The following is a 27,453-nucleotide window of genomic DNA, read 5'->3' as shown; positions in this document are numbered from 1 at the left end:
GCACTAGTTTACCTCTGCGGCAATTTCCTGAATGCGACTGGAGTGTAGAGGCCAGCAATCTGAAATTTGTACTTTAAACATCAGCTGAATTATCCCTGTTCATTTTTGCTTTAACACAAAAAAATTCATGCCGTGTTCAAATTTAAAAAGCACGTTCACATATATTATCTCATTTGACTTTCACTACATCACTGGTATTATCTTCATTTTACAGATGAAAAAACATTAGATTACAGAAGTTAAATGAGTTTTCCAAAATCTTAGAGCTAATTAAATGAAGAGCTAACCCTGGAACTTTTATTTTCTAATTTCAAATTCTGTGTTCTTTTCTATCGTGGCATAGCTTCTTATTATACACATTATCTATTCGTCTCCTACAGTTTAAAGATTCTACTGCAGCTTTCTTCCATTTGTCTTTTCATGAACTTATTCAGTGATTTATAGATTTATTCACAAATATTTGTTGAATGCCTACTCCGTGTCAGGCGTACATTGAGAGGGAAATGGAAATGACCCTTGTGTTTGTGGAACATGAGGTCTAAAGAAGAAAACAGACTTTAAACAAATAAGTAAACTTGTAATTATATGAAGAAAATGTTTACACATGCTAGCGAATGAAATCATCCAAAGACATAAAAGAGAAACAAGGCGAGGCTTCATTTAAATTGGTCGCGTCCTGGAAAGCCTGTGAAAGAGCACAGCAAGGAGCTTTGGAGACGGAAGGAACATCCTGTGCAAAGGCCCTGTGGTAGGAATGAGTTAGAAGACAGAAAAGCAGACATAAAGACAACATATATGGGGAACAGAAACAAATGAGGAGAGGAGAGGAAGACAAGGCTAGATTGGCAGGCAGAAGCCGAATGCTGCAGGGTGCTGAAGGTCATGTTAGAGATTTAAAATGTTATCCCAAGTGCAAATGGCAGTCTTTAAAAGGTTACAGGCATGGAAGGAAAACTGCTCAAGTATTTAGATTTTGTTTTCTTCTGAAGTCACTTTGCTCACTGAGCTTTCCTAATTCCTGCCAATATACCCATTGCTCTTCTTTACTAGCACTTACTAGAGTTTGCAAACATACATTTATTTTGGGGAGTACTCATTTAAAGCCTATCTCTATCAGAAGCAGGGATTGGATCTACCTTTGTCACTATGTTCAAAGTCCCTAGATCACTTAATAAAAGGATTGTTTTTATAGTAATGTTAAATAACAACATATGCAATTTTATTTAATTCCTGTAATGACCCTTTGCACTTTGGCTGTTGGGCCATTAAAGACAACAACCAAAAAAGAACAATCGTGGTTTCAGAGAGCAAGCAGATTATTTGAAAGGCATTTTGGAAGCAAATGCAATGGGATCTGGTGATTTGGATAGAGGGTAGGGTAAGGGTCAACGGAGCTCCCAGGTTGAGTCTTGAGCAGGTTGGTCAGGAAGGCTGAGGTGGGGCAGGTGAAGGTGGAGAGGGCATGAGAGAAAGATCGAGAGTTCAGACATGCAAAGCAGTAAAGCTGAAATGCCTGCAGCACAGCCAAGGAGGCAGCTGAATATAGGAAACCAGAGCTCAGAGGAGAAATCTGAAATGTAAGTTTAATTCTTTATTCGTTTTCAGTAAAAATTGTCAAGAAGTCAACATTGCCTGTAGCTTTCTTCACTCAACTTATGTATAAATCCAGAACCCAAAATGATGCCTGGCATGAAGTAAATTTTAAATAGTTTTAGAATTCTTTCACATACAAAATAATTAGTATTTAGCCCAGGGAGGGATAAGCAACATACAAAGATGAAACTGCTGCCTAGTGGCTGTGTTGTTTCTATTTTTCTGATGTTGAGTGTTTTTCATTTTTCTATACTTAACAACTGAAGTGACAATCATTCTCCTAAGCAATTAGTTGTTTGGGGTCATTTTCACACAAGGTCTATTCTAGGTTTCTATTCTTCCATAGCTGTGGTTGATCTCTTTTTAAAACTAATCAGCTAACATTTTTCTTTTAACAAATTTTGTTAAATACATTTTTAATCTTTAATTATTGCTGATAAGAAAGAGTAATAGTTTAATTTAGAAATTTCAATTCTAACATTTATTTTGGATCATAGAGAGGAAATAGGAATAAATTCTGAAGCAATACAAATTTCAAAAAACAAATCTGGTGAAATGCATTTTCAAAGGGTTTCTGTCGAATTATGGTGAAAAATCTGCAACTTTATTGAAAAGAATTACAGCCAAAACAATTTTTTAGAAGTGCCGCTTTTCACATGATGTTTTTGCATGTGAAATGAAACAGCTGTCTTTTGTTAAATCATCAGTCTATATTTGAAATGTTTCCTAAAAAAGGAATGGAAGATAAGCTGTTCTTTTTTAAAAATTTTAATTAGCTGTTCAGATTCAGATATTGAGGCCCTGGTATTTACAGCTTCTTTAAAAAGAAAACAGTTGTGAACATAAACTAGCATGTTTTTCTCAGGAAGTGAGCATGAGATATTTATATGTATTTATACTAGCGTGTGCGTTTCTAAAATCTATGACTAAAGCCAAAATAAGTCTTTATGAACTATCTCTTCCCAGTCCTCACTCCAATTCGCTCAATGTGTGCTTCTGGCTGAGCTTTGTGACGTTGCCACACTTCAATCATTCTCCAAGAGGGATCCATAAGGGAAATAAAACTTCTTACATGAGCTTCCCAGATGTTATAAGTAGTATCGTAAATGATACCCAGCGCCATTCCTGAAGCTCGTCGCCTGTTTCTTTTCTTTTCTTTTCCTGATCAGGGTGTAGCCACATCTGGCTCTTCTCTTTGCAGGACAATCTAATTCTATCTTTCTAAGAGCTATACGCAGCTCAAACAGGTGAGGGTATATAGAGAAATTTAATCAGCAAAGGTTCATAACATCAACTGAGTTGAAGCCCAGAATGCTTTGTGAGGTGAAGCGAAACCTCAGCAGGGACAACATCTCTCGGTTCAAATGTTTGAAGGGTTATTGTGCGGAAGAAAAACTAAGCTTGTCTGAAAGGCGTCTAGGGATAGATAGCAATTGGGCTAATCAGTAAGTTCCAGGAAGACATATTTTGATTCAGCAAAATTAAAGAGAGAGTTCATGAAAGAATAAGCAGTGACGGCATTCACATAGAGTCAGGATGACAACCAAGCAGGTGTAGAGCAGGGGCATGTCATTAGTGGGAGTAGATTAGTGTTTATTTTTATTTATCTTATTTTTTGCCTATGACCTGTAGCCTATGTCACCAAGTTACACACACATATAATAGTGTAACGGGTTTGTTTCAGTTATTATAATAAAAGAACAGGCCAAGTGTGGTGGCTCACACCTGTAATCCCAGCACTTTGAGAGGCCTAAGTGGGTGGATCACTTGAGGTCAGGAGTTCGAGACCGGCCTGGTCAACATGGAGAAACCCCATCTCTACTAAAAATACAAAAAATTAGCTGGGCATGGAGGTGTGCGCCTGTAGCCCCAGCTATTCCAGAGGCTGAATCGCTTGAACCCGGGAGGTGGAGGTTGCAGTGAGCTGGAATCACACCACTGCACTCTAGCCTGGGCGACAGAATGAGACTCTGATTTAAAAAAATTAAAAAGTGGGGTGGAGCCAAGATGGCTGAATAGGAACAGCTCCAATCTACAGCTCCCAGCAGGAGCGAACCAGAAGATGAATTATTTCTGCATTTCCAACTGAGGAACCGGGTTCATCTTAGGGGGGACTGTCAGACAGTGGGTGCAGGACAGTGGGTGCAGCACACCAAGTGTAAGCTGAAGCAGGATGAGGCATCGCCTCACCTGGGAAGTGCAAGGGGTCAGGGAATTCCCTTCCCAAGCCAAGGAAAGGGGAGACAGACGGCACCTTGAAAATTGGGTCACTCCCACCCTAATACTGTGCTTTTCCAACAGTCTTAGCAAACGGCACACCAGGAGATTATATCCCGTGCATGGTTCAGAGGGTCATACGCCCACAGAGCCTCGCTCATTGCTAGCACAGCAGTCTGAGATCAAACTGCAAGGCAGCAGCAAGCCTGGAGGAGGGGCACCTGCCATAACCAAGGCTTGAGTAGGTAAACAAAGCAGCCCAGAAGCTCGAACTGGGTGGAGCCCACTGCAGCTCAAGGAGGCCTGCCTGCCTCTGTAGACTCCACTTCTGGGGGCAGGGCACAGCCAAACAAAAGGCATCAGAAACCTCTACAGTCTTAAATGTCCCTGTCTGACAGCTTTGAAAAGAGTAGTGGTTCTCCCAGCATGCAGCTTGAGATCTGAGAATGGACAGACTGCCTACTCAAGTGGGTCCCTGACCCCCGAGTAGCCCAACTGGGAGGCAGGCCCCAGTAAGGGCAGACTGACACCTCACATGGCCGGATACTCCTCTGAGACAAAACTTCCAGAGGAATGATCAGATAGCAACATTTGCTGTTAACCAATATCCACTGTTCTGCAGCCTCCACTGCTGACACCCAGACAAACAGGATCTGGAGTGGACCTCCAGCAAACTCCAACAGACATGCAGCTGAGGGTCCTGACTGTTAGAAGGAAAACTAACTAACAGAAAGGACATCCACACCAAAACCCCATCTGTATGTCACCATCATCAAAGACCAAAGGTAGATAAAACCACAAAGATGAGGAAAAAACACAGCATAAAAACTGGAAATTCTAAAAATCAGAGTGCCTCTCCTCCTCCAAAGGAGTGCAGCTCCTCAGCAGCAACGGAACAAAGCTGGACAGAGAATAACTTTGACAAGTTGAGAGAAGAAGGCTTCAGATGATCAAACTACTCAGAGCTAAAGGAGAAAGTTAAAACCCATGGCAAAGAAGTTAAAAAACTTGAAAAAAGATTAGATGAATGGCTAACTAGAATAACCAATGCAGAGAAGGCCTTAAAGGACCTGATGGAGCTGAAAACCATGGCATGAGAACTATGTGACAAATGCACAAGCCTCAGTAGTCGATTTGATCAACTGGAAGAAAGGGTATCAGTGATGGAAGATCAAATGAGTGAAATGAAGCGAGAAGAGAAGTTTAGAGAAAAAAGAATAAAAAGAAACTAACAAAGCCTCCAAGAAATATGGGACTATGTGAAAAGACCAAATCTACCTCTGATTGGTGTACCTGCAAGAGACAGGGAGAACGGAATCATGTTGGAAAACACTCTGCAGGATATTATCCAGGAGAACTTCCCCAATCTAGCAAGGCAGGCCAACATTCAAATTCAGGAAATACAGAGAATGCCACAAAGAAACTCCTTGAGAAGAGCAACTCCAAGACACATAATTGTCAGATTCACCAAAGTTGAAATGAAGGAAAAAATGTTAAGGGCAGCCACAGAGAAAGGTCGGGTTACCCACAAAGGGAAGCCCATCAGACTAACAGCTGATCTCTTGGCAGAAACTCTACAAGGCAGAAGAGAGTGGGGGCCAATATTCAACATTCTTAAAGAAAAGAATTTTCAACCCAGAATTTCCTATTCAGCCAAACTAAGCTTCATAAGTGAAGGAGAAATAAAATCCTTTACAGATAAGCAAATGCTGAGAGATTTTGTCACCACCAGGCCTGCCCTAAAAGAGCTCCTGAAGGAAGCACTAAATATGGAAAGGAACAACCGGTACCAGCCACTGCAAAAACAAGCTAAATGGTAAAGACCATTGAGGCAAGGAAGAAACTGCATCAACTAATGAGCAAAACAACCAGCTAACATCATAATGACAGCATCAAAAACTCACACATTACAATATTAACCTTAAATGTAAATGGGCTAAATGCTCCAATTAAAAGACACAGACTGGCAAATTGGATTAAAAAGTCAAGACCCATCAGTGAGCTGTATTCAGGAAAACCATCTCACGTGCAGAGACACATGTAGACTCAAAATAAAGGGATGGAGGAAGATCCACCAAGCAAATGGAAAACAAAAAGAGGCAGGGATTGTGATCCTAGTCTCTGATAAAACAGACTTTAAACCAACAAAGATCAAAAGAGACAAAGAAGGCCATTACATAATGGTAAAGGGATCAATTCAACAAGAAGAACTAACTATCCTAAATATATAAGCACCCAATACAGGAGCACCCAGATTCATAAAGCAAGTCCTTAGAGACCTACAAAGAGACTTAGACTCCCACACAATAATAATAGGAGACTTTAACACCCCACTGTCAACATTAGACAGATTAATGAGACAGAAAGTTAACAAGGATATCCAGGAATTGAACTCAGCTCTGCACCAAGTGGACCTAATAGACATCTATAGAATTCTCCACCCCAAATCAACAGAATATACATTCTTTTCAGCACCACATCACACCTATTCCAAAACTGACTCCTCAGCAAATGTAAAAGAACAGAAATTATAACAAACTGTCTCTCAGACCACAGTGCAATCAAACTAGAACTCAGGATTAAGAAATTCACTCAAAACTGCTCAACTACATGGAAACTAAACAATCGGCTCCTGAATGACTACTGGGTACATAACGAAATGCAGGCAGAAATAAAGATGTTTTTTGAAACCAATGAGAACAAAGACACAACATACCAGAATCTCTGGGACACATTGAAAGCAGTGTGTAGAGGGAAATTTATAGCACTAAATGCCCACAAGAGAAAGCAGGAAAGATCTAAAATTAACACCCTAACATCACAGTTAAAAGAACTAGAGAAGCAAGAGCAAACACATACAAAAGCTAGCAGAAAGCAAGAAATAACTAAGATCAGAGCAGAACTGAAGGAGATAGAGACACAAAAAACCCTTCAAAAAAATCATTGAATCCAGGAGCTGGTTTTTTTGAAAAGATCAACAAAATTGATAGACCACTAGCAAGACTAATGAAGAAAAGAGAGAAGAATCAAATAGATGCAATAAAAAATGATAAAGGGGATATCACCACCGATCCCACAGAAATACAAACTACCATCAGAGAATACTATAAACACCTCTACGCAAATAAACTAGAAAATCCAGAAGAAATGGATAAATTCCTCAACACATACACCCTCCCAAGACTAAACCAGGAAGAAGTTGAATCTCTGAATAGACCAAAAACAGACTCTGAAATTGAGGCAATAATTAATAGCTTACCAACAAAAAAAAGTCCAGGACCAGATGGATTCGCAGCCGAATTCTACCAGAGGTATAAGGAGGAGCTGGTACCATTCCTTCTGAAACTATTCTAATCAATAGAAAAAGAGGGAATCCTCCCTAACTCATTTTATGAGGCCAGCATCATCCTGATACCAAAGCTGGACAGAGACACAACAAAAAGAATTTTAGACCAATATCCCTGATTTACATCGATGCAAAAATACTCAATAAAATACTGGCAAACCGAATGCAGCAGCACATCAAAAAGCTTATCCACCATGACCAAGTGGGCTTCATCCCTGGGATGCAAGCCTTGTTCAACATATGCAAATCAATAAATGTAACCCAGCATATAAACAGAACCAAAGACAAAAACCACATGATTATCTCAATAGATGCAGAAAAGGCCTTTGACAAAATTCAACAACACTTCATGCTAAAAACTCTCAATAAATTAGGTATTGATGGGACGTATCTCAAAATAATAAGAGCTATCTATGACAAACCCACAGCCATATCATACTGAATGGGCAAAACTGGAAGCATTCCCTTTGAAAACTGGCACAAGACAGGGATGCCCTCTCTCACCATTCCTATTCAACATAGTGTCGGAAGTTCTGGCCAGGGCAATCAGGCAGGAGAAGGAAATAAAGGGATTCAATTAGGAAAAGAGGAAGTCAAATTGTCCCTGTTTGCAGATGACATGATTGTATATCTAGAAAACCCCATCATCTCAGCCCAAAATCTCCTTCAGCTGATAGACAACTTCAGCAAAGTCTCAGGATACAAAATCAGTGTGCAAAAATCACAAGCATTCTTATACACCAATAACAGGCAAACAGAGAGCCAAATCATGAGTGAACTCCCATTCACAATTGCTTCACAGAGAATAAAATACCCAGAAATCCAACTTACAAGGGATGTGAAGGACCTCTTCAAGGAGAACTACAAACCACTGCTCAATGAAATAAAAGAGGATACAAACAAATGGAAGAACATTCCATGCTCATAGGTAGGAAGAATCAACATTGTGAAAATGGCCATTCTGCCCAAGGTAATTTATTTATTCAATGCCATCCCCATCAAACTACCAATGACTTTCTTCACCGAATTGGAAAAAACTACTTTAAAGTTCATATGGAACCAAAAAAGAGCCCACATTGCCAAGTCAATCCTAAGCCAAAAGAACAAAGCTGGAGGCATCACGCTACCTGACTTCAAACTATACTACAAGGCTACAGTAACCAAAACAGCATGGTACTGGTACCAAAACATAGATATAGACTAATGGAACAGAACAGAGCCCTCAGAAACAATGCCACATATCTACAACTATCTGATCTTTGACAAGCCTGACAAAAACAAGAAATGAGGAAAGGATTCCCTATTTAATAAATGGTGCTAGGAAAACTGGCTAGCCATATGTAGAAAGCTGAAAGTGGATCCCTTCCTTACACCTTATACAAAAATTAATTCAAGATGGATTAAAGACTTAAATGTTAGACCTAAAACCATAAAAACCCTAGAAGAAAACCTAGGCAATACCATTCAGGACATAGGCATGGGCAAGGACTTCATGTCTAAAACACCAAAAGCAATGGCAACAAAAGCCAAAATTGACAAATGGGATCTAATTAAACTAAAGAGCTTCTGCACAGCAAAAGAAACTACCATCAGAGTGAACAGGCAACCCACAGAATGGGAGAAAATTTTTGCAACCTACTCATCTGACAAAGGGCTAATATCCAGAATCTACAATGAACTCAAACAAATTTACAAGAAAAAAACAAACAACCCCATCAACAAGTGGGCGAAGGAAATGAACAGACACTTCTCAAAAGAAGACATTTATGCAGGCAAAAAACACATGCAAAAATGCTCATCATCACTGGCCATCAGAGAAATGCAAATCAAAACCACAATGAGATACCATCTCACACCAGTTAAAATGGCGTTCATTAAAAAGTCAGGAAACAACAGGTGCTGGACAAGATGTGGAGAAATAGGAACACTTTTACACTGTTGGTGGGACTATAAACTAGTTCGACCATTGTGGAAGTCAGTGTGGCGATTCCTCAGGGATCTAGAACTAGAAATACCATTTGACTCAGCCATCCCATTACTGGGTATATACCCAAAGGATTATAAATCATGCTACTATAAAGACACATGCACACATATGTTTATTGCGGCACTATTCACAATAGCAAAGACTTGGAACCAACCCAAATGTCCAACAATGATAGACTGGATTAAGAAAATGTGGCACATATACACCATGGAATACTACGTAGCCATAAAAAAGGATGAGTTCATGCCCTTCATAAGGACATGGATGAAGCTGGAAACCATCATTCTCAGCAAACTACCGCAAGGACAAAAAACCAAACACCGCATGTTCTCACTCATAGGCGGGAATTGAACAATGAGAACACAAGGACACAGGAAGGGGAACATCACATACCGGGGCCTGCTGGGAGGTGGGGGGAGGGGGGAGATATAGCATTAGGAGATATACCTAGTGTTAAATGACGAGTTAATGGGTGCAGCACACCAACATGGCACATGTATACGTATGTAACAAACCTGCACGTTGTGCACATGTACCCTAAAACTTAAAGTATAAGAAAAAAAATTTTAAAAGTTTTAAAAAGGATATTTGTGTGTGTGTGTGTGTGTAGGGCACAAATATAATTGATACATATTATAACTGAAACACAAGTTTCAAAAAGCAGTAAATTTACTAGCCTTATGCCCTGTATTGTTTTTCATTCTATTGTATTCTATTGTATCATTTTTTACAAAAAACTGCTCCCAGCCCATGGAACCGATCTCAGAACTCACTAGCGTGCCATAACGTGCAGTTTGAACACCTCTCAACTAGATAATTTTAATGACCTTTCCACTGCTGTGCAGGGGAGATAGTTTTCATTTTCTTCAATAAACTTTTGCGTAATGAGTTGTTGCTGCTGCTGTTTTGGGCAATTTTCTGTAAGACCTTCAACAAAACTACCCTGCACTGATAGATAATCCAGCACTACACGACCATCATTTTTGGAGTTGTTTTAAAAATATCTCTTTAACTAAATTGTAGGACCATATAAAAATATCTCAATAATTTGGACCATACGGACACTCATTCATGTCTTTCTTTGTGTATTTGTCCTTCTACTTAATAAAATAAAGTTTCAATTTTATTTCTAATGCCTTCCATCCACTTTGCTGTCTCCTAGAGAAACAAATACTATATATGTTTATTAGTCGTGTTAGTCACTCCTTCAAACATCCCAAAGTGTCCCTTCTTCCATTTATAGAGGGATAATGAAAAGGAAGCTGGAGGACCAAGGTAGTGAGAAGAGGACAATGGCAAAGGACACTAGTGGCACTGTTGGGTATGGGGTTAGGTCCTGAGTAGCTCTGGGTAAAAGTTGATAAATACACTCCCAAGAGCTAACCACACTCCCTACTCAACAGTCACCTGTTTTAGAAGGCATGGCATGAAAAACTGACCTGCAGCTAATTTACTATTTGTTGATATATCGATTAGGACTACCTAAAATGCCGGGCAAGTTCATATAACTGCATAAAATCTAAGCATGTACCTCTAGAGAGAAACTTAGTTTTCTGCTAGATTATGTCAAACCTAAGTTTTTAGACAGTCTAAATGGGTTAAGGCTGTTCTGGGAAGGAACAGAACGTAGCTTTTAGTATAGTAATGTGTTTCAGGATCACTCATAGATTAGCACTCAAAAAGAGCATATTATGGATTTTAAGTCTCAGATGCAGAGGAAATGGATCATAGTCTCTGAACTTTGTAGTTGTTTTGAACATTGATTAACGTTGGAAGTAAATGCAATGGGGTCTAGTGATCTGGATAGAGGTGGGGGTAAGGGTCAACGGAGCTCCCAGTTTGAGTCAAATAAGTGTTTGATATCAAATAAGTGTTTGATATTGATCACTGAACAATATCAAATAAGTGTTTACTGAGTCCATTAGCATGTACTGACTTTCATTTATTTTCCCATAATTTTACTTTATGAAAAGTCCCTGATGTCAACTTACTGTGTTATCTTTTGTCGTTTTTCTTCTCAAGGTATAATATTCTACATACGCTCACAAATCTCATTAAGTGTTATTTCTAGTTAACTGCATTCTAAGTTTTACTTTAGAATTATTTAGAAACTACCCGCATTAAATAATCCCTCTAGTGATTAAAATGGGTTCAGCTGAAATGTTGACTGAACTATGCCATATGTCCTACCATGTAGATTTTGTAAACAGAATGGACCCACCATAACCTTTTTTAAAATTTTATTTATTTTACTTTAAGTTCCGGGATACATGTGCAGAACATGCAGATTTGTTACATAGATATACAAATGCCATGGTGGTTTGCTGCACCTATCAACCCATCATCTAGGTTTTAAGCTCCACATGCATTAGGTATTTGTCCTGATGCTCTCCTTCTCCTTGTCACCCACCCGCTGACAGGCCCTGGTGTGTGATGTTCCCCTCCCTGTGTCCATGTGTTCTCATTGTTCAACTCTCACTTATAAGTGAGGACATGCGATGCTTGGTTTTCTGTTCCTTTATTAGTTTGCTGAGAATGATGGCTTCCAGCTTCATCCATGTCCCTCCCTGCAAAGGACATGAACTCATTTTTTTATGGCTGCTCAGTGTTCCATGGAGTATATGTGCCACATTTTCTTTATCCAGTCTATCATTGACGGGCATTTATTAGAAAGTCAGGAAACAACAGATGCTGGAGAGGATGTGGAGAAATAGGAATGCTTTTACACTGTTAGTAGAAGTGTAAATAAGTTCAACCATTGTGGAAGACTGTATGGCGATTCCTCAGGGATCTAGAACCAGAAATACCATTTGACCCAGCAATCCCAATAATGGGTATATACCCAAAGGATTATAAATCATTCTACTATAAAGACACATGCACAAGTATGTTTATTGCAGCACTATTTACAATAGTAAAAACTTGGAACCATAACCTTTAAAAAAATTATAAATATAGGTCCTTGCTATGTTGACCAAGCTAGTTTTGAATTCCTGAGCTCAAGCGATCCTCTTGGCTCAGCCTCCCAAAGTGCTGAGATAGGCGTGAGCCGCCGACCGTCATAACCTTTTTTAACAGATTAGACTGCACAGTTGAGGAACTTTTCTGAGGGGCATAAGCTGATTTTTGGTGCCCCAGCCTAGATTAAACAAACCAAAGGCTGAGCTCCTACAAATCTGGATAGTGGACAAAGTACATCTTTAGTGCTCCAGCGTCCTGCCTGCTTCTTTCTGGATGACAAATGCCTTTCCTTCTGTTAAACCTACTTTGCAACAGGATAGAGAATCAGTGCGTATGAGAATAACTTTCAGTGGTGCTTTTTAGAGCAGGTATTTGCATTCAAGTCTTATTTCTCTCCTAACACACTGCAGAGCTTCAGCTTCATGCAGTCAACGAAACTACAGTCAACTCTCCTTCCTGGTGACAATTTCTACTTGGTTGCTTAACCATTGATCCTTATTGGATTTCACAACAAACCATGCTATTCATGAATAAAGAGCATTTATTCATTAATCACAAAGTGTATGTTGAGGGTCTGCTAAGTGTCTAGTCTGAAGCTCACTTATTTTGACTTTCCAAAGAAATATGCACAGCATTCTGGCAAATTCTGCTCACTTCAACTGCGGCTGGTTCTCTCTTTTCAATTCCCAGCTCATTACCAACATTCTGTTTTTCTAACCTTAAAGACACTTCAGAACACCGAGTTCCCGGACATTCCCCTTGTCCAATCAGGTTCTGTGTTCACAGAGCGTGCTGCAGATCATCCCCAGCTCTTCGTCCAGAGGGAAGTAGGAAGCCCAGCCAGAGGCTGTACCATGAGCAGCTGCGAGGTTACGCGCCCACTGGCCCTACATGCTTCTGAGGCCCAAATCCCTGGGGTTACACAAAAGGCCCAGGCTGTGTCAAAACGGAATCGGCTGTCCTGGCTCCCTCACCTTCCTTCCTTTTTGTACTCCTGGCAGGAAGTCACTAATATCAAAAGATACTTTTAAAAAAAGAAAAGAAAAGAAATAACAGAATGCTGCCTAAATCTCAGGCTTAGTTCATCATATTCTACTTGCATAGGAGCCACTAAAACCATTAAAGACCACATCAGATGGCAGCATCTATTTAGCAGGTATTTTGAGAAAGACCTCGTTGCTGGATCCTTTACCTATAACCAAATCCCATGAGCATGGCATCCGATCATTTTAGAGCTGAGAGGGGTGCAATCTTTTAGAAGAGATGTAGCAGAAGGATCAGAGTGATATGCTGCAGAGCTCCAATCCCCTTTTCAGAAGTTTGCTGTTGTTTCTCTGAGACTTGAGTGACTGTAGCACAACTCAAGACTTAGTTTTTTAGAGACCCCCCTCCACCCTCCCGAGAACTACAGGGAGCAAGAAGACATCTCACTTTTCAACTCCCACCTCTGGTTTAGACCACACATTCATCATTTTAGGAAACAGTTAAGAGGTTTTCCTAACTTTGCTCTTATACCCCTGGCATTCCTCTCAGTTATCAATTATCTTTATTTTGGCGATAGTAAGAGAGGCCGAATTCATTTCTTTTTTAGAAACGCTGGAGAAGAGCTCGTGTGAAAAATTACTCTCTGAAATTGAACACTAGGTAGATGATTACCATAAATACCCAGCATCCTGTCAAGCAGGGATCCACGCGTGGGCAGAGGAAAGAGGGAGGGAAAGTAACATTTCATGTTTCCCCTGTCCTAGGCACCTTTCATACACTTTTCAAATCATCACCGCAGTCCCACAAGGTGGGTAGGTAGTCAGACATTTGTGGAAACTGAGGCTCAGTTAATAAATGAATATGCAGGGCCTTGGTCTTTGTTCGGGTCTATCTGAATGCAAAGCCAGATGGCTTTTCACCAAACGGCTGCATCGCAAATCATTGTCCTAGTCGGGGCTTCTGCCTCTCCCATGTCTGATTCATGGTGTGCTTTAGCCACAACATTATGCTCCATATATTATCTAAAGCAATTATCACAGCAACGTGTTAAATTCTAGAAATAACTAAGCTGTAGGGCAGTTAAGTATCGCGTAGGACGTTAGATAGCTAAGATGGAATGGCTATCCCAGTTCCTGTGACTCTAGGTCCCTGCTTTTTCTACAGAGCCACCACCTGTGTGTGAGACATTTGGAAGTGGGCTTTATGCATGCAAATAATTTTCCAGCTGTGTTAAACCCAAGAGAACCAAGAAGGAAGAGCTCTATGAAAGAGAGAGAAAACATTTAAATGGGGTCAAGAAGGAAGGGAAGTCATAAATTAAATGAAGAGTCTAACAGGTTTTGGAGAGATGGATAACATACATTTTTCATATATTTTTCAAGTGCTTACTCTGTACCATAGCAGTATACTTTCTCCATTCAAGAATTTATACCAATGGAGGAGATAGACATAGGAAAAACAAAAACAACCAAAAAACCACAACTCAGTCTCTACTCCACCCCATAGTCCACAATCTTCTTTCCCTCCCAGCCCATCTTGTCTTAGTTAATGGCAACAATACCCACCTGGGCATCTTTTCATCATCTCATTTCCCCTCTTCCTCCCACCTCACATTCCATTTCATGAATTCTGAATGATGGACCAGCTTCCCCAAATTTTTCTCCTCCACTGACTCTTCTGCTACCACCACATTCTAGCTCCACTGTTTTTCCTGTGAACTATCACAAATGTGTCTTATTTTGTTTTATTTTTATTTTATTTTATTTTATTTTATTTTATTTTATTTTATTTTATTTTATTTTTGAGACAGAGTCTTGCTCTGTGGCCCAGGTTGGAGTGCAGTGGCACGATCTTGGCTCACTGCAACCTCTGCCTCCCAGGTTCAAGCAGTTCTCCTGCCTCAGCCACCCCAGTAGCTGGGATTACAGGTGCATGCTACCAAGTCTGGCTGACTTTTGTGATTTTAGTAGAAAGGGGATTTCACCATGTTGGCCAGGCTGGTCTTGAACTCCTGGCCTCAAGTGATCCAGCAGCCACAGCCTCCCAAAGTGCTGGGATTACAAGCGTGAACCACAGCGCCCAGCCAACAAGTGTGATGGTTTCCTTAAAATATAGATAATAACTTTTCTCCAAATAAAATTATTCAGCTTCACGTTGAATAAAATAAAATCAGAACTTCTTATGTCAGCTTACAAAGCTCACTGAGATTTGGTTCTTACCCACATATATGGCCTGTATGGCCTGACTTACTTTCTCTCTCTCTCCACCCCCCGCACCACCCCCCTGTCCCCCCACAACCCCCTTTAGTCACATTGGTCTTTCTGCCTCTTAACCTTAACATCTTTAGGATTTTTATACTGTCCTTTACATGGAAGTATTTTTCCCCGGGGCTGCCTTGGGCTTTCTTTTTCTCATTAGTCAGATCCTCATTCTAATGGTCCCTTCCCATAGAGGCCATTATTGTATCCCCAAAAAGATAAGTTTGCATCCTAATCTCCAAAGTCTGTGAATATGACCTTATTTGGAAATAGTCCTTGCAAATATAATCAAATCAAGTTAAAGGCATACTGGGTTAGGATGGGCCCTAATGAGTTAACGGTATCCTTAAAAGAAGAGGGAAATTTTAGACACAGACACACCGGGAAGAAGGCCATGTGAAGGTGAAGGCATGTATTGGAGTGATACATCTGTAAGCCAAGAAATTTCAGGAATTTCCAGCCACCACCAGCAACTAGCAGAAGTAAAGGAAAATTTCTCCCCAAGAGCCTTCAGAGAGAACGTGTCCTGCTGCTATCTTGATGTCTAACTTCCAGCTTCCAGAATAGGGAGAATACATTTCTATGAAAAAATAAATTTCTTGCTGGGCATGGTGGCTCATGCCTGTAATCTCAGCACTTTGGGAGACCAAGGTGGCAGATGACTTGAGGTCAGGAGTTCAAGACCAGCCTGGCCAACATGGTGAAACCTCGTCTCTACTAAAAATACAAAAATTAGCTGGGCATGGTGGCGTGTGTCTGTAGTTCCAGCTGCTTAGGAAGTTGAGGCAGGAGAATCATTTTAACCCAGGACATGGAGGTTGCAGTGAGCTGAGATCGTGCCACTGCACTCCAGCCTGGGTGACAGAGTGAGACTCCATCTCAAAAAACAAACAAACCAATTTCTGTTGTTTTATGCAACCCACTTTGTGATAACTCATATGGCAGCCCCAGGAAATTAATTTAGAATTCAATCAGAATTTTCTAGCTGTGTTAGACCTAACAGAACAGAGAGAGAACAGCTCTATAAAAGAGAGAGAAGACATACAAATTCAGTCGAGGAAGGAGAATCATAAATTAGACTAAAAGTCTAACAGGATTTAGAGAGATGAGTAACATATATTTTAAATATTTTTCAAGTGATTTGTGGTTGGTTCCCCCACAGCCAACTCTTTATTGCATAATTCAGTTTTTTTATTCATAGTATTTATCACTCTCTGAAACAGTTTAAGTCATTACATATGTAGTAAATATGTACATTTATAATGTTTATATATACATGTTTATCATATGTATATCTGCTTATCCTTATACAATATATAAATATTTGAAAGTGCAAAGTTTATTTACCTGTTTCACCCAACACCTAGAAGATAGCCTGGATATACAAATATCTGCTCAATGAACACATGAACTTGGTGAATTTAGTAGTATAACTAAACTGAGATAATGTCTAAATAAAAGCCTTTATTATAAATTTGATTTTGTATCACATTTGAGGAATACGTAATATGTTTGTGTGATTCTTATAGCAAAGGTCTATATTTGAAATGATAACAATAACTAGTTAATCCAAGAAGAATTGAGAAGGCCAACTAAACCAAATATAACAGGTAAAAAGATCCCATTCATTTACTTTTAGCTGTCCCCATTGCTTAAAGAATGAGATAGGATATTCCCAAACAACTGTGATTTTTCCTACGACTTGGAAAATAACTTCATTTTCAAATCTGAGTTTAGGTTCTCCTAAAATGAGTGTGGCAGTTTATGCTCTAATTTATCATGTCATCTGCTTAATTAAGTTTGAACTGATATTACTTTTGGTTTCCTAACTATACAGCCTCTCAGATGTGTTGAGTATCATTGAGGGTGCTTGTGCAGAAAAATCAAGTTTGTTCCAGTGGGCAAAACTCAGGCTTCCAGAATCAAAACCTTCCAATTTCCATCACAATATACTATATAATCATAGATAAATAACCCTAATTTTCTGAGCATAACATATAATTGTTTTTCATATCATTTGTTTCCTTTTTCAAAGTTATTATGTCCAAGCACAGTAACTCATGCCTGTAATCTCAGCCCTTTGGGAGGCCAAGGTGGGAGGATCACTTTGAGTCCAGGAGTTCAATACCAATCTGGGCAACATGGTGAAACCCTGTCTCTACAAAAAATACAAAAATTAGCCAGGTGTAATGGTGTGCGCCTGTAGTCCCAGCTATTTGGAAGGCTAAAGAGGGAGGGTCTCCTGAGCCCAGGAGGTTGAGGCTTCAGTGAGCTGTGATTGTGCCACTGTACTCCAGCCTGGGTGACAGAGTGAGACCCTGTCTCAAAAAAAAAAAAAAAAAATACTATAAAGGTGATAGAAGTTTATAAAAACAATTTAGAAAATACAAAAAGTATAAACCAGTCACAATATTACCAGCCTCAAATAGGAACTGTTAACCTGTTGATGTATTTTGTTTTAGTCGGTTTTGTGTGCACATATGCCTAAAAACAGAGGCACAGAAATATGGATATGCTGTTAAAAATTAGGAGCATATGTTATGCAATATATAGCTTATATCATGCTTTATTTTAGGGCTATATAAATATTGGTTTCTTTTACTCATTCTATGTGAATTTTTTCTGTGACCGTGACTTTAAGTGTCAGCCTTACATTTAATTAAATGGAGATGCTATAAAATAACAAGCACTTTATTGTCAAATTAGCTATTGTTAATTTATAAAAGCTTTTTCAGTAAACTTTGGTGTCCATAAATCTTCATTTACATCTGATTAATTTCTCAAGGGAAAATTCATATAAGTAGAATTGCAGGGTCAAAGTGCATGAATACTTTTAAGGCTTTCCCATTCCTTCTAGAAGTATATTTATATCCCCTCTACACATACAGCATACAGTCATACACCTGATTTCTACCTAAATAAAAATGAAATTTTATTATTTTAATGTCCTTTTATAAGACATTTTGCAAATACTTTTCTTTATTATCTTATAATTTTATTCTTAATTTTTAATGTAGATTTTTTAAAGTCTACAGACAAGTTTATCAATCTTTCTGATTGTATTTTCTTCAATTTGTATATTGGAAATAATATCCTCACCATAAAATGATTCTAGAAATTTCTACCAAGTGACCATTACATAGCTGACACTGATCTAGGTGCTGGGGTTGTAAAAATGATGGAGCCAAAATTCCTACCTTCGTTGAGTTTGCAATCTAGTCACAGCAGATTTACAATAATCAACATAAATGGTCTACTAATTAAATAAACAAGCTGTTTCAGATAGTGATAGGTTCACGAAGAAAAAAAAAATAGGACAATTGAAAATTGAGTGCCCATCCATGTGAGGGGTGCATGTTTAAACTTAGTTTCAGATGAAGACTTCAGGAGGAGGCATTAGAAATGAAACCAAATGATAAGAAAGAGACAGTCCTAGGCATGTGTGGGAAGCCTCATTGCAAGGAGAGATAATAATGGTGAGTGCAAAGACTTGGAAATGAGAGCAGGCTTGGTGGGTTCCACGACAGAAAGAAGGCCAGTCTGACTCAAGTATAGCAGGTGATGCAGAATGCAACCTTGGGAATATAACAGGACCAGATCCCATGGTTCTTTATAAATCATGAGGAGAAGTTTGGATTTCCAACTTTAGAACTTTTGGAAAGTTTCCAGTGAGAAGATGATATGTTCACTTTGCTTGGTGGAAAAATGGCTTGGAAGTGGGTCTAAATAGAAGCAAAAGAGCAAGATAGGAGGCTATTAGTATAACCTGGCAGAGAGAATATGGTAGATATGTCTAAGGTTATAGCCACAGACTCTATTTTGTGGTTTCACTAATTATAGTTAAATGTATAGTTATCTGAAAATAATGTATTTATTATAGTTAACTTTTATTCCATCTTGAAGTAAACTATAGAGTTCTCCTCTCTCTCTCTCTTTCTCTCTCTCTCTCCCTCTCCTGCTATAATGTCTCTCTTTCTGTGCCAGTGTCAGCATTTTGACTATGGTAGCTTGAAAATGTTTCAATTTACTAGTAAATCCCCCATCGTTACTTTTGTTTTCGAAATTTTCTTTGCTAATATATTTTCTTCTTTTTTTTTCAGATGATCCTTGAACATTTCCTCAAATCTCTTTTACCAGTACACACACACACTCACACACACGCACGCACACACACGTCTGTGAGATTTTGAATGGTAATGCATTAAAACTATTTGTAAATGTTGTGGTTCTGAGAGGAACTGGGCTGAGCTACGTGGTTTTCTATTCTAATTTTTCAAATGCTTGAAGGCAGGCGTTGTTAGGGGCTTCAGTCATCTAAAAGCTCAAATTCGTTGCATATCCCAAGATAAACTCATTCACGTGTCTGAAAGATCGTGCTGGCATTGGCTGGAAATGTAGGTGGAGCTTGTGAATATGGTCTTTCCATGGGCTTTTCACACTAAGGTAAATGGATTCCAAAAAGGAATCCCCCAAGAACAAATTCTCCAAGATATCTAGACAGAGGCTGTAATGATGCTTACATGAGTTTGAGTCATCAATATTAGACTGTCATATCTCCCACATTCTATTGGCCAAATGAGTTTGTTAAGGTCAGCAAGGATTCAAGGGAAAGATAATAGACCACAACTTTTGATGGAGAAGTGGCAAGGTCCTGTCCAGAAGATCATGCAGGATGGGATACTGTGGCTCTCCTTGGTTACAGTCTGCCAGAATCCACCTCCTCAGTCCACAACAATTCACATCCCTCCCACCTGCAAAATACACTTGCCACTCCTCTAAGATCCCTGTAATTTTATCCCAATGCAGTGATCTTGAAATCTAGGATCTCTTCAGACAAATCAAATGCAGATGTAGAAGAGGTTTATGGGTACAATTCCTCAAGAACATTTTCTTCCTGTCTGAAAACCTGTAAACAAGTTAGCTGCTCCTGTGCACACACCCAACATACAAGAGTGATCAGGAAAATAATTGTTATTGGTTAAATTGTGCCCCTCGAAATTCATATGTTGAAGTAATCCCCAGTACCTCAGAATGTGAAATTATTTGGAAGTAGAGTCATTGCATATGTAAATAGGATGAGGTCATACTAGAGTAGGGTGGGCTTTTAATCCAATACACCTGGCATTCTTATAAAAAGGGGAAATTTTGACACAGACATACATAGAAGAAAGACAATCTGAAGAGGAACAGGGAGAAGATGGTCATCCATAAGCCAAGGAGAGAGGCTTGGAACAGATTCCTTCCTCACAGTCCTCAGAAGGAACCAATTCTACCAACACCTTGATTTTGGACGTCCAGCCTCCAGAACTGTGAAGCAATAAATTTCTGTTGTCTAAGCCACCCAGTTGGTGGCACTTTGTTATAACAGCCCTGGCAAACTAATACAAAAATAATTGAAGCTGAGCATATACCTGTAGTCCCAGCTACTGGGGAAGTTGAGGCAGGAGGCTTTGTTGAGCCCTGGAGTTTGAGGCCAGTCTGAATGACATAGACAGGCTCTGTCTCTAAAATATAAATATAAAAATAAAAACAAAAATTAATTAAAATAGACACTCTCATTGAAAAAGAAAAGAAATAGGGGACATATAGCAGCCATTAGTCCACAGCAATTTCAAAATTTCATCAGAAATGTATCATTAATATCTTAATTAGATGCTCCTTGGATCTGTTTTTTTGTTGATCTTAGTTCTGCTGTCAGGACTCTAAGCTCTGCTCTCTGAAATATCTCTTCTTTCTCATAAGAAATGGCTTATTTTAGGCCGGATGCAGTGGCTCACGCCTGTAATCCTAGCACTTTGGGAGGCCGAGGTGGGAGGATGATCTGAGGTCAGGAGTTCAAGACCATGGTGAAAGCCTATCTCTACTAAAAATCCAAAAATTAGTGGGGCACGGTGGCTCACACCTATAAACTCAGCCACTTGGGAAACTGAGGAAGGAGAATCGCTTGAACCCGGGAGGCGGAGGTTACAGTGAGCCGAGATGGTGCCAATGCACTCCAGCCTGGGCGACAGAGCGAGACTCTGTCTCAAAAAAAAAAAAAGGCTTATTTTTTGCAGATGAGTAACTTTCTCTAATTGCTTCCTTCAGGAAGTTAGGAGTTCAAAGATGTTTTTGTCTCTATCCTTTTTAATCCAAGCATCGAATGCTTCTGCTAGTATAATTATAGTAAAACGCCTTGTAGGTTTTCTGTAAATCTTGTTAGGGTTCATTCCATTAAACAAAATCCATTCCTCCACATTTCTGGCTTAGGCTGAGAATCTGGATGCTGTAAGACAAAACCCTTATATTTCTCAGACACCTTTTGGTTTAGTTGAAAGGGTTTATGAGGCATGTACTTAAATCATTTTGAAGTTTTAATACAGGGTCTTATAACGAAACTCTTGATTTTTTTTCTTTACCCTGAGGTTATTTCTTACTTTGAGAGTCTTTTTCCATGTAGAGAAGTTAGAAATAAAAAAATAGTTTTAGTTTCAAATCCATCAAGGCCTGACTCCTGAATATTGCTTCAAACTTCTGCTTAAAAACAGACATAGTACTTTATTTTAGCTTATCTTTATCTATTGATACTTTATCATATGTAGCTAAAATAAATTAATTGGCATTTCTATTTCATTAGTCATATTTTCTATTTTCCATGTTACCACAGACCATAGTTTTGGTAAAATTTCTGCCATTACATAACACAAATTTCTTTGTATTCAGTGTTCAATGACAATTTTCTTACTATCCTTTAAGGCTACTATCAAAGACATTCCAGTTTTTGCCCACTGTATAGTCCCACAGAGAATGCTCCATGTTTTAGTTTTACATTATGACAGTATCCAGGCACCAACTTAGGCATTGGATGGAGCAACTTAGGTATCAAATCAGGCAAACAAAACTACTAAGAATGACATGGAATAAGAAATTTTTTATAGGAATTAGACCTTACTCATTTGCGAGAGCTGGTAAAGACATATGGGAAGACTGTCCCTTGAATTCAGTGGTGGGAAGAAGCTTCCTGTAGATCAGTAGAACCAAACTCGAAGTGACTCAGGGGAGAGTAAAGACAAGCTGAACCTGGTGTGGGGGACGAATTGGAACTTACAAAGATACCTGCAATCTGTGTCTCTCACCACCTCTGAACTTGACAGTGTCAGTGACCTGCAACAGAAATAAGGGTACTTTGCTGCAGATTTGCATACATACACCTGATTTGTGGTCCAAAGAAGCAAAAGGACCAGATCCAGTGGAAGCTGGAAAAGCTGGGTGAGCTGAAACCAAGCACTGCCCCACACTAATACAGTCAGCTGATCAGAGATCCATCAAGGGACCTGGCACCCTGCATCTCTGGACTGCAATGGGGACTTCATCACTATCACCTTCCAATAAAAATGCTCAAACAAAAGGTAGTTGTGCTCTGTTTATATAGTTGAAGGCAGGAGAAGGGCACACATTGATTAAAATCTGATGTCTCTAGTCATAATTCACACAATGGACTTTTTATTATGAGACCAAACTCTAAGAGGATATGGAATCTCTTGATGTAATGGTTTCCTCAGAATTCATGGGGTAATAAGGAATTTGTATGTTACAGATTTTCAATTTTTGCTTCAGCTGCAAGAAACTCACAATTAAATTGTGACATTCAATTTTTGCAAATATCCTTAGTCAACATTTCCTGGCTTAATAACTGCTTCCCTTTCGTTATGACTTTTTACATTTTCTGTTCATTATTTTAATTATTTAACATTTAATTTTGTAGGTCAGGCACCAACTTAGGCATTAGATAGGGCAATTTAAGTATCTCAAATAACTTCTGGAAGTAGGTTGAATAGAAATATAATGTGTTTTTTTGTGGTAGTTTTATAGCTGTTGCCAAGGTTTTCTCTCTTTTTCTACATCTGGTTGACTCATTTCTGTTTCCCTTTGTCTTTTTTTTTTTTTTTTTGGCTTGTAGTTTTGTTTTGCTTTTGTCTTTTATCTTTTGTGCAAAGCTGAGCTCTTAGAATTACGAAAGAGATGTTGGATGAAATTCAAGGCTATTATATGATTTTTCAAGAGAGCAATGTCTAAGGGCTCCTTTTCACGTAACAGAGTACTACAGACAATGTAAAGGAAGATGGCAGAAAATCCTCAAAAGAAGCATGACTCCTCCCCTGAACACTCTAAGCTAGAGTTTTGCACACCAGTCTTTAGCTTCTCCTTATCTTATACGTGGGTAAGTTAATCTCATTATGCACAATCAGAAAAAAAGAATATGATGAATTTGAGATTCTCATTGAGAATTAATCGTCTGATACTTCCCATAAATTCAGTGCCATCTCCTGAGTTCTTAGTAGCACAGTAGAAGACAAGATAAATTACCAGTGACTTTAGGTAAATTATAGAGATTTACCAATCTTAGACACAAAGCTGAAACTTGTGACATTTGCAAAGTGTTCACCAGGCAACATGAAACAACTCCCAATTAAGGTGGAAATCAGCAACCATGAACTCACACAGAAGGCCTTGCTTCATATGTTTTTAAAAACAACTTCCTTGTCTAGAATATTTTTATACAGGGCCAAGAAACTGAAAGCTGAGGATACATGCTCTCACACACAAACACATGCAAACACACACAGTTGCAAACACACACCCCTCTCTTATATCATTTTGCAGGCAGTGCTGCTCACAGGCTTGCAGCTTTATCTAGGTAAGAAGCAAATGGCAAAAGGGCTCAAAGATAAGTGTACTCTTTCTCTTTCCTTTTTCCTATCTCTCTCTCTCTCTCTTTCTCTCTTTCTTTCTTTTTTTGATGGAGTCTGGCTCTGTCGCCCAAGTTGGAAGGCAGTGGCATGATCCCGGCTCACTGCAACCTCTGCCTCCCGGTTCAAGCGATTCTCCTGCCTCAGCCTCCGGAGTAGCTGGGATTACAGGCACCCACCATCACGACTGGCTTATTTTTGTATTTTAGTAGAGACAGGATTTTGCTATGTTGGCTAGGCTGGTCTTGAACTCCTGGCCTCAAGCAATCCACCTGCCTCAGCCTCTCAAACTGCTGGGATTACAGGTGTGAGCCACCTTGCCCGGCCCCTCCCTCCCTTCATTCCTTCCTCCCTCCCTCCCTTCTTCTTTTCCTTCCTTCCTTCCTTCTTTCCTTCCTTCCTTCCTTCCTCTCTCTTTCTTTCTCTTTCTTTCGTTATTTCTTTCTTTCCTCCTTCTTTCATCTCTTCCTTCCTTTTCTTCTCTCTTTCTCTCTTCCTTTCTCTTTCTTTTTAAAAAAATATTTCTTGATTGCTCTTGGTTACTGCTCCATCAGACCCTACATTTCCTGAGAAATCAGTCACTTTTTTTATCTCCCAGAATTATTTACATAGTCCACAGTGAATACTAGGTAAATTTTCATTATATAAATTAGTGGTGTTGAATGGTCTTAAGTGAGCGGAGCCTTGAGTAGGTTTCTGTGTGTGTAAAAAAGGAAGAGAGATAGAGAGATAAAGAAGAGAAGGTAGAGAATGTAGCAGGCACAGTGGCTCATACCTGTAATCCTAGAACTTCTGGAGGCTGAGGCGGGGGAATTGCTTGAGGCCAAGAGTTTGAGACCAGCCTGGGCAACAAAGTGAGACCTCATCTCTACAAAAAGTAAAAAAATTAGCTGGGCATGGTGGCATGAACCTGTGGTCCCAGTTACATGGGAGGTTGAGGCAGGAGGATTGCTTGAGCCCAGGAGTTCGAGGCTGCAGTGAACCATAACCATGCCACTGCACTCTAGCCTAAGTGACGGAGCAAGACCCTATTTCAAATAAAAAAAAAAAAGAAAAGAAAAGAAAAGAAAGAGAGAGGAAGAATGTAGTATGGTGGTCAGCTTCTAGTGACACCACCTGCTAGAATTACTGGATACCCTTGGCTACCAGAGTTACCTATGCGTGCTATTAGAAAGAGACTGTTTTTCTATGAAAAGTAGCTCCATGTAGATAATAATTGGAAAACAGAAATGATGAAAAAGATTCGGACTCCAACACCCACTAAAAGAGCACAAAATTACATTCTGTCAATCCTATTATTCAAAAAAGGATTGTTGGAAAAATCTCCTTTTTCTGTGGGCTCTTTTTCTATAGCTGAGAATAATGACCTCTTGAGTTTCGTAACATAAGTAGTTAGACCGTGGAGGCATGAAATCAAGAAAAATAAAGGTCTGCATCTTCTGGTTTGATTGTGAAAGGTCTAATGTAGGGGCCACCTAAATCAAAAACTATTAATTATTGTTATCTGTGGTAGTTATGTTCTATAAAGTCACCAGGAACACTGAATTTGTGAATACTGAATCACTGCTCTTAGGGGAAATGTAGGGTGAGGGTCCCACGAGCCTCTGCTCACAACATTTTCATCAACAAATCAATACATACCTTATTTTACGTGTGTCTCTGCTTAAAAACACATTATTTAACATATATTGTTGAATGATTAACATTGAACTCCTGGCCAGCAGCACTACATACATTCTTGAACAAAGTTGCCTATGAACGTATTTTCTCTGTAAGAGAAATGTCAGCTTCCTTGCCCTTAGGAGGACGGAACAACACTATCCTGTAGGGGTGAGGGTAACAGAAAAATTACCAGCAAAAGGAACAAAAATGCAGAAAAGGTGGCTCTAAACAGACTGGAAAAAGTACACTTGTTAATAGGGAGTACAGAACATAAGAGCAGAACATCACTTTGTTAGACCCCAGTTTTTCCCCACTTGTGCATGTCTGCAAATGACCAAACGGCACTACAGGTATTGATTGAAGAGTTACAGATACGTTCTAGCTGGTAGGGAAATTCACAAATATGAAATCTTAATAATGAGGATTAACTTGATATACATTAGTGGGCAAGTTGAGATTCCTGAAATTAAATGCAACTGACTGCTCTACATTTCTAACCCTAAGTATTACGCATCAACATGAGTTCAAGTGGAAGCAAAAATAAATGATTCCTACAACATGCTTCCCAGTAAATGTGTTTTTCCACTTAATGGGTGATGGAAGAAAGGCTTAACTACTTTACATCACAATGAAAATTCTGAAGAAAATGCCTATATCATTTAAGACCTAAAGGCATAAATGAAGAATATAAAAAGGTGACTTGACAAGGGAAAACAGAAATGAAGTCTCTTGAGAAAAGTTGTCCAATGTTATTTTTGTGATATTTGAAATGTCCCTGGGTTGGTGCAAGCCATTAGACACTATTTCTGAAAGAGAAATAACTAACATCTAACTGGGCAGAGCTACAGGGATCCTACATAATGCAGGATAGCACAATGAACATAAGGCAACATAGAAACACCTCATGATCTAGATATTTTTATGCACATTTAACACTAGGAGAATTTTATTTTCTTAATGATTGTTAAAAGTATTGTATAAATGAATAATTATTGCCAAAATTAAACATAGGACACATAAAGTTGAAGTGATGCTCCATGCATGGCAGCTATTATTATTTTGAAACCAGCTGCTAACTAAGTAGTACTTCATGGGGAAACAGAGGAGCTTTTGATACGACACTGTCTAGACAGGCTTCTGAGCAGGAATGGGCATTGCAGTGCACTTCTCTATCATAGCAGAAACTGTAGCTTGCAAATTACCTATTTCCTCCCTTTCATTTCTAAAAAGGCCTAACATCATATTCTCCAAGACTTGCTTGCAGTGAGATGTGTCCAGGTGACTGTTTTCTGGCCATTTATGTAAAAGAGGAAACCACTGAGTAGGATTTCCAGAAAAGCTTTTTAAAAGGTACTCATCGCACCCCCCTCCCCCCGCCTGAAGGCCCAGCTATTGCGGAGACTGAGGTGGGAGGATCACTTGAACCCGGGAACTCAAGGCTGCAGGGAGGCATGATCGTGCCATCGCACTCCAGCCTGGGCAACAGAGCGGGACCCTGTCTCAAATAAATAAATAAATAGGATGAATGCAGCTGACATACTTTTTTCCAGTACGTCATGAACTAGATAATGAAGTGTTTCTATGTTCCCTTTTTTCCTTGCATGATGGCTCTTGAGGTCCTTTTGAGAGTGAGGATAAAGGTCATACTCTAAGGAGGGAAAGTACAAAACTAAAGCAATACTCACTTTGTGACGAAATTGTGAAGCCTCCATACCA

The 27,453-nt window shown here is 39.3% G+C and overlaps 1 long non-coding RNA gene across 5 annotated transcripts in view; it reads right to left on the bottom strand.

Moving 5' to 3' along the window:
• Positions 1-27,453, bottom strand: part of LINC02866 (long intergenic non-protein coding RNA 2866) — a 69,001-nt gene that overhangs the window by 25,140 nt on the left and 16,408 nt on the right. For 4 of the 5 annotated variants that reach the window (NR_186440.1, NR_186439.1, NR_186438.1 and 1 more), the window contains 2 exons: positions 22,278-22,489; positions 20,758-20,850 (listed from right to left, as the gene is read on the bottom strand). The exons of the other annotated variant lie outside the window; for it this stretch is intronic. This is a non-coding gene — a long non-coding RNA (long intergenic non-protein coding RNA 2866). The remainder of the gene's footprint in view (positions 1-20,757; positions 20,851-22,277; positions 22,490-27,453) is intronic. 5 annotated transcript variants of the gene reach the window in all.

Source organism: Homo sapiens, chromosome 8 (assembly GCF_000001405.40).
Source record: "Homo sapiens chromosome 8, GRCh38.p14 Primary Assembly".
Taxonomy (NCBI): Eukaryota; Metazoa; Chordata; class Mammalia; order Primates; family Hominidae; genus Homo; species Homo sapiens.
The sequence above is the reverse complement of the archived record's forward strand: the minus strand, read 5'-3'. Positions and strand labels throughout refer to the sequence as shown.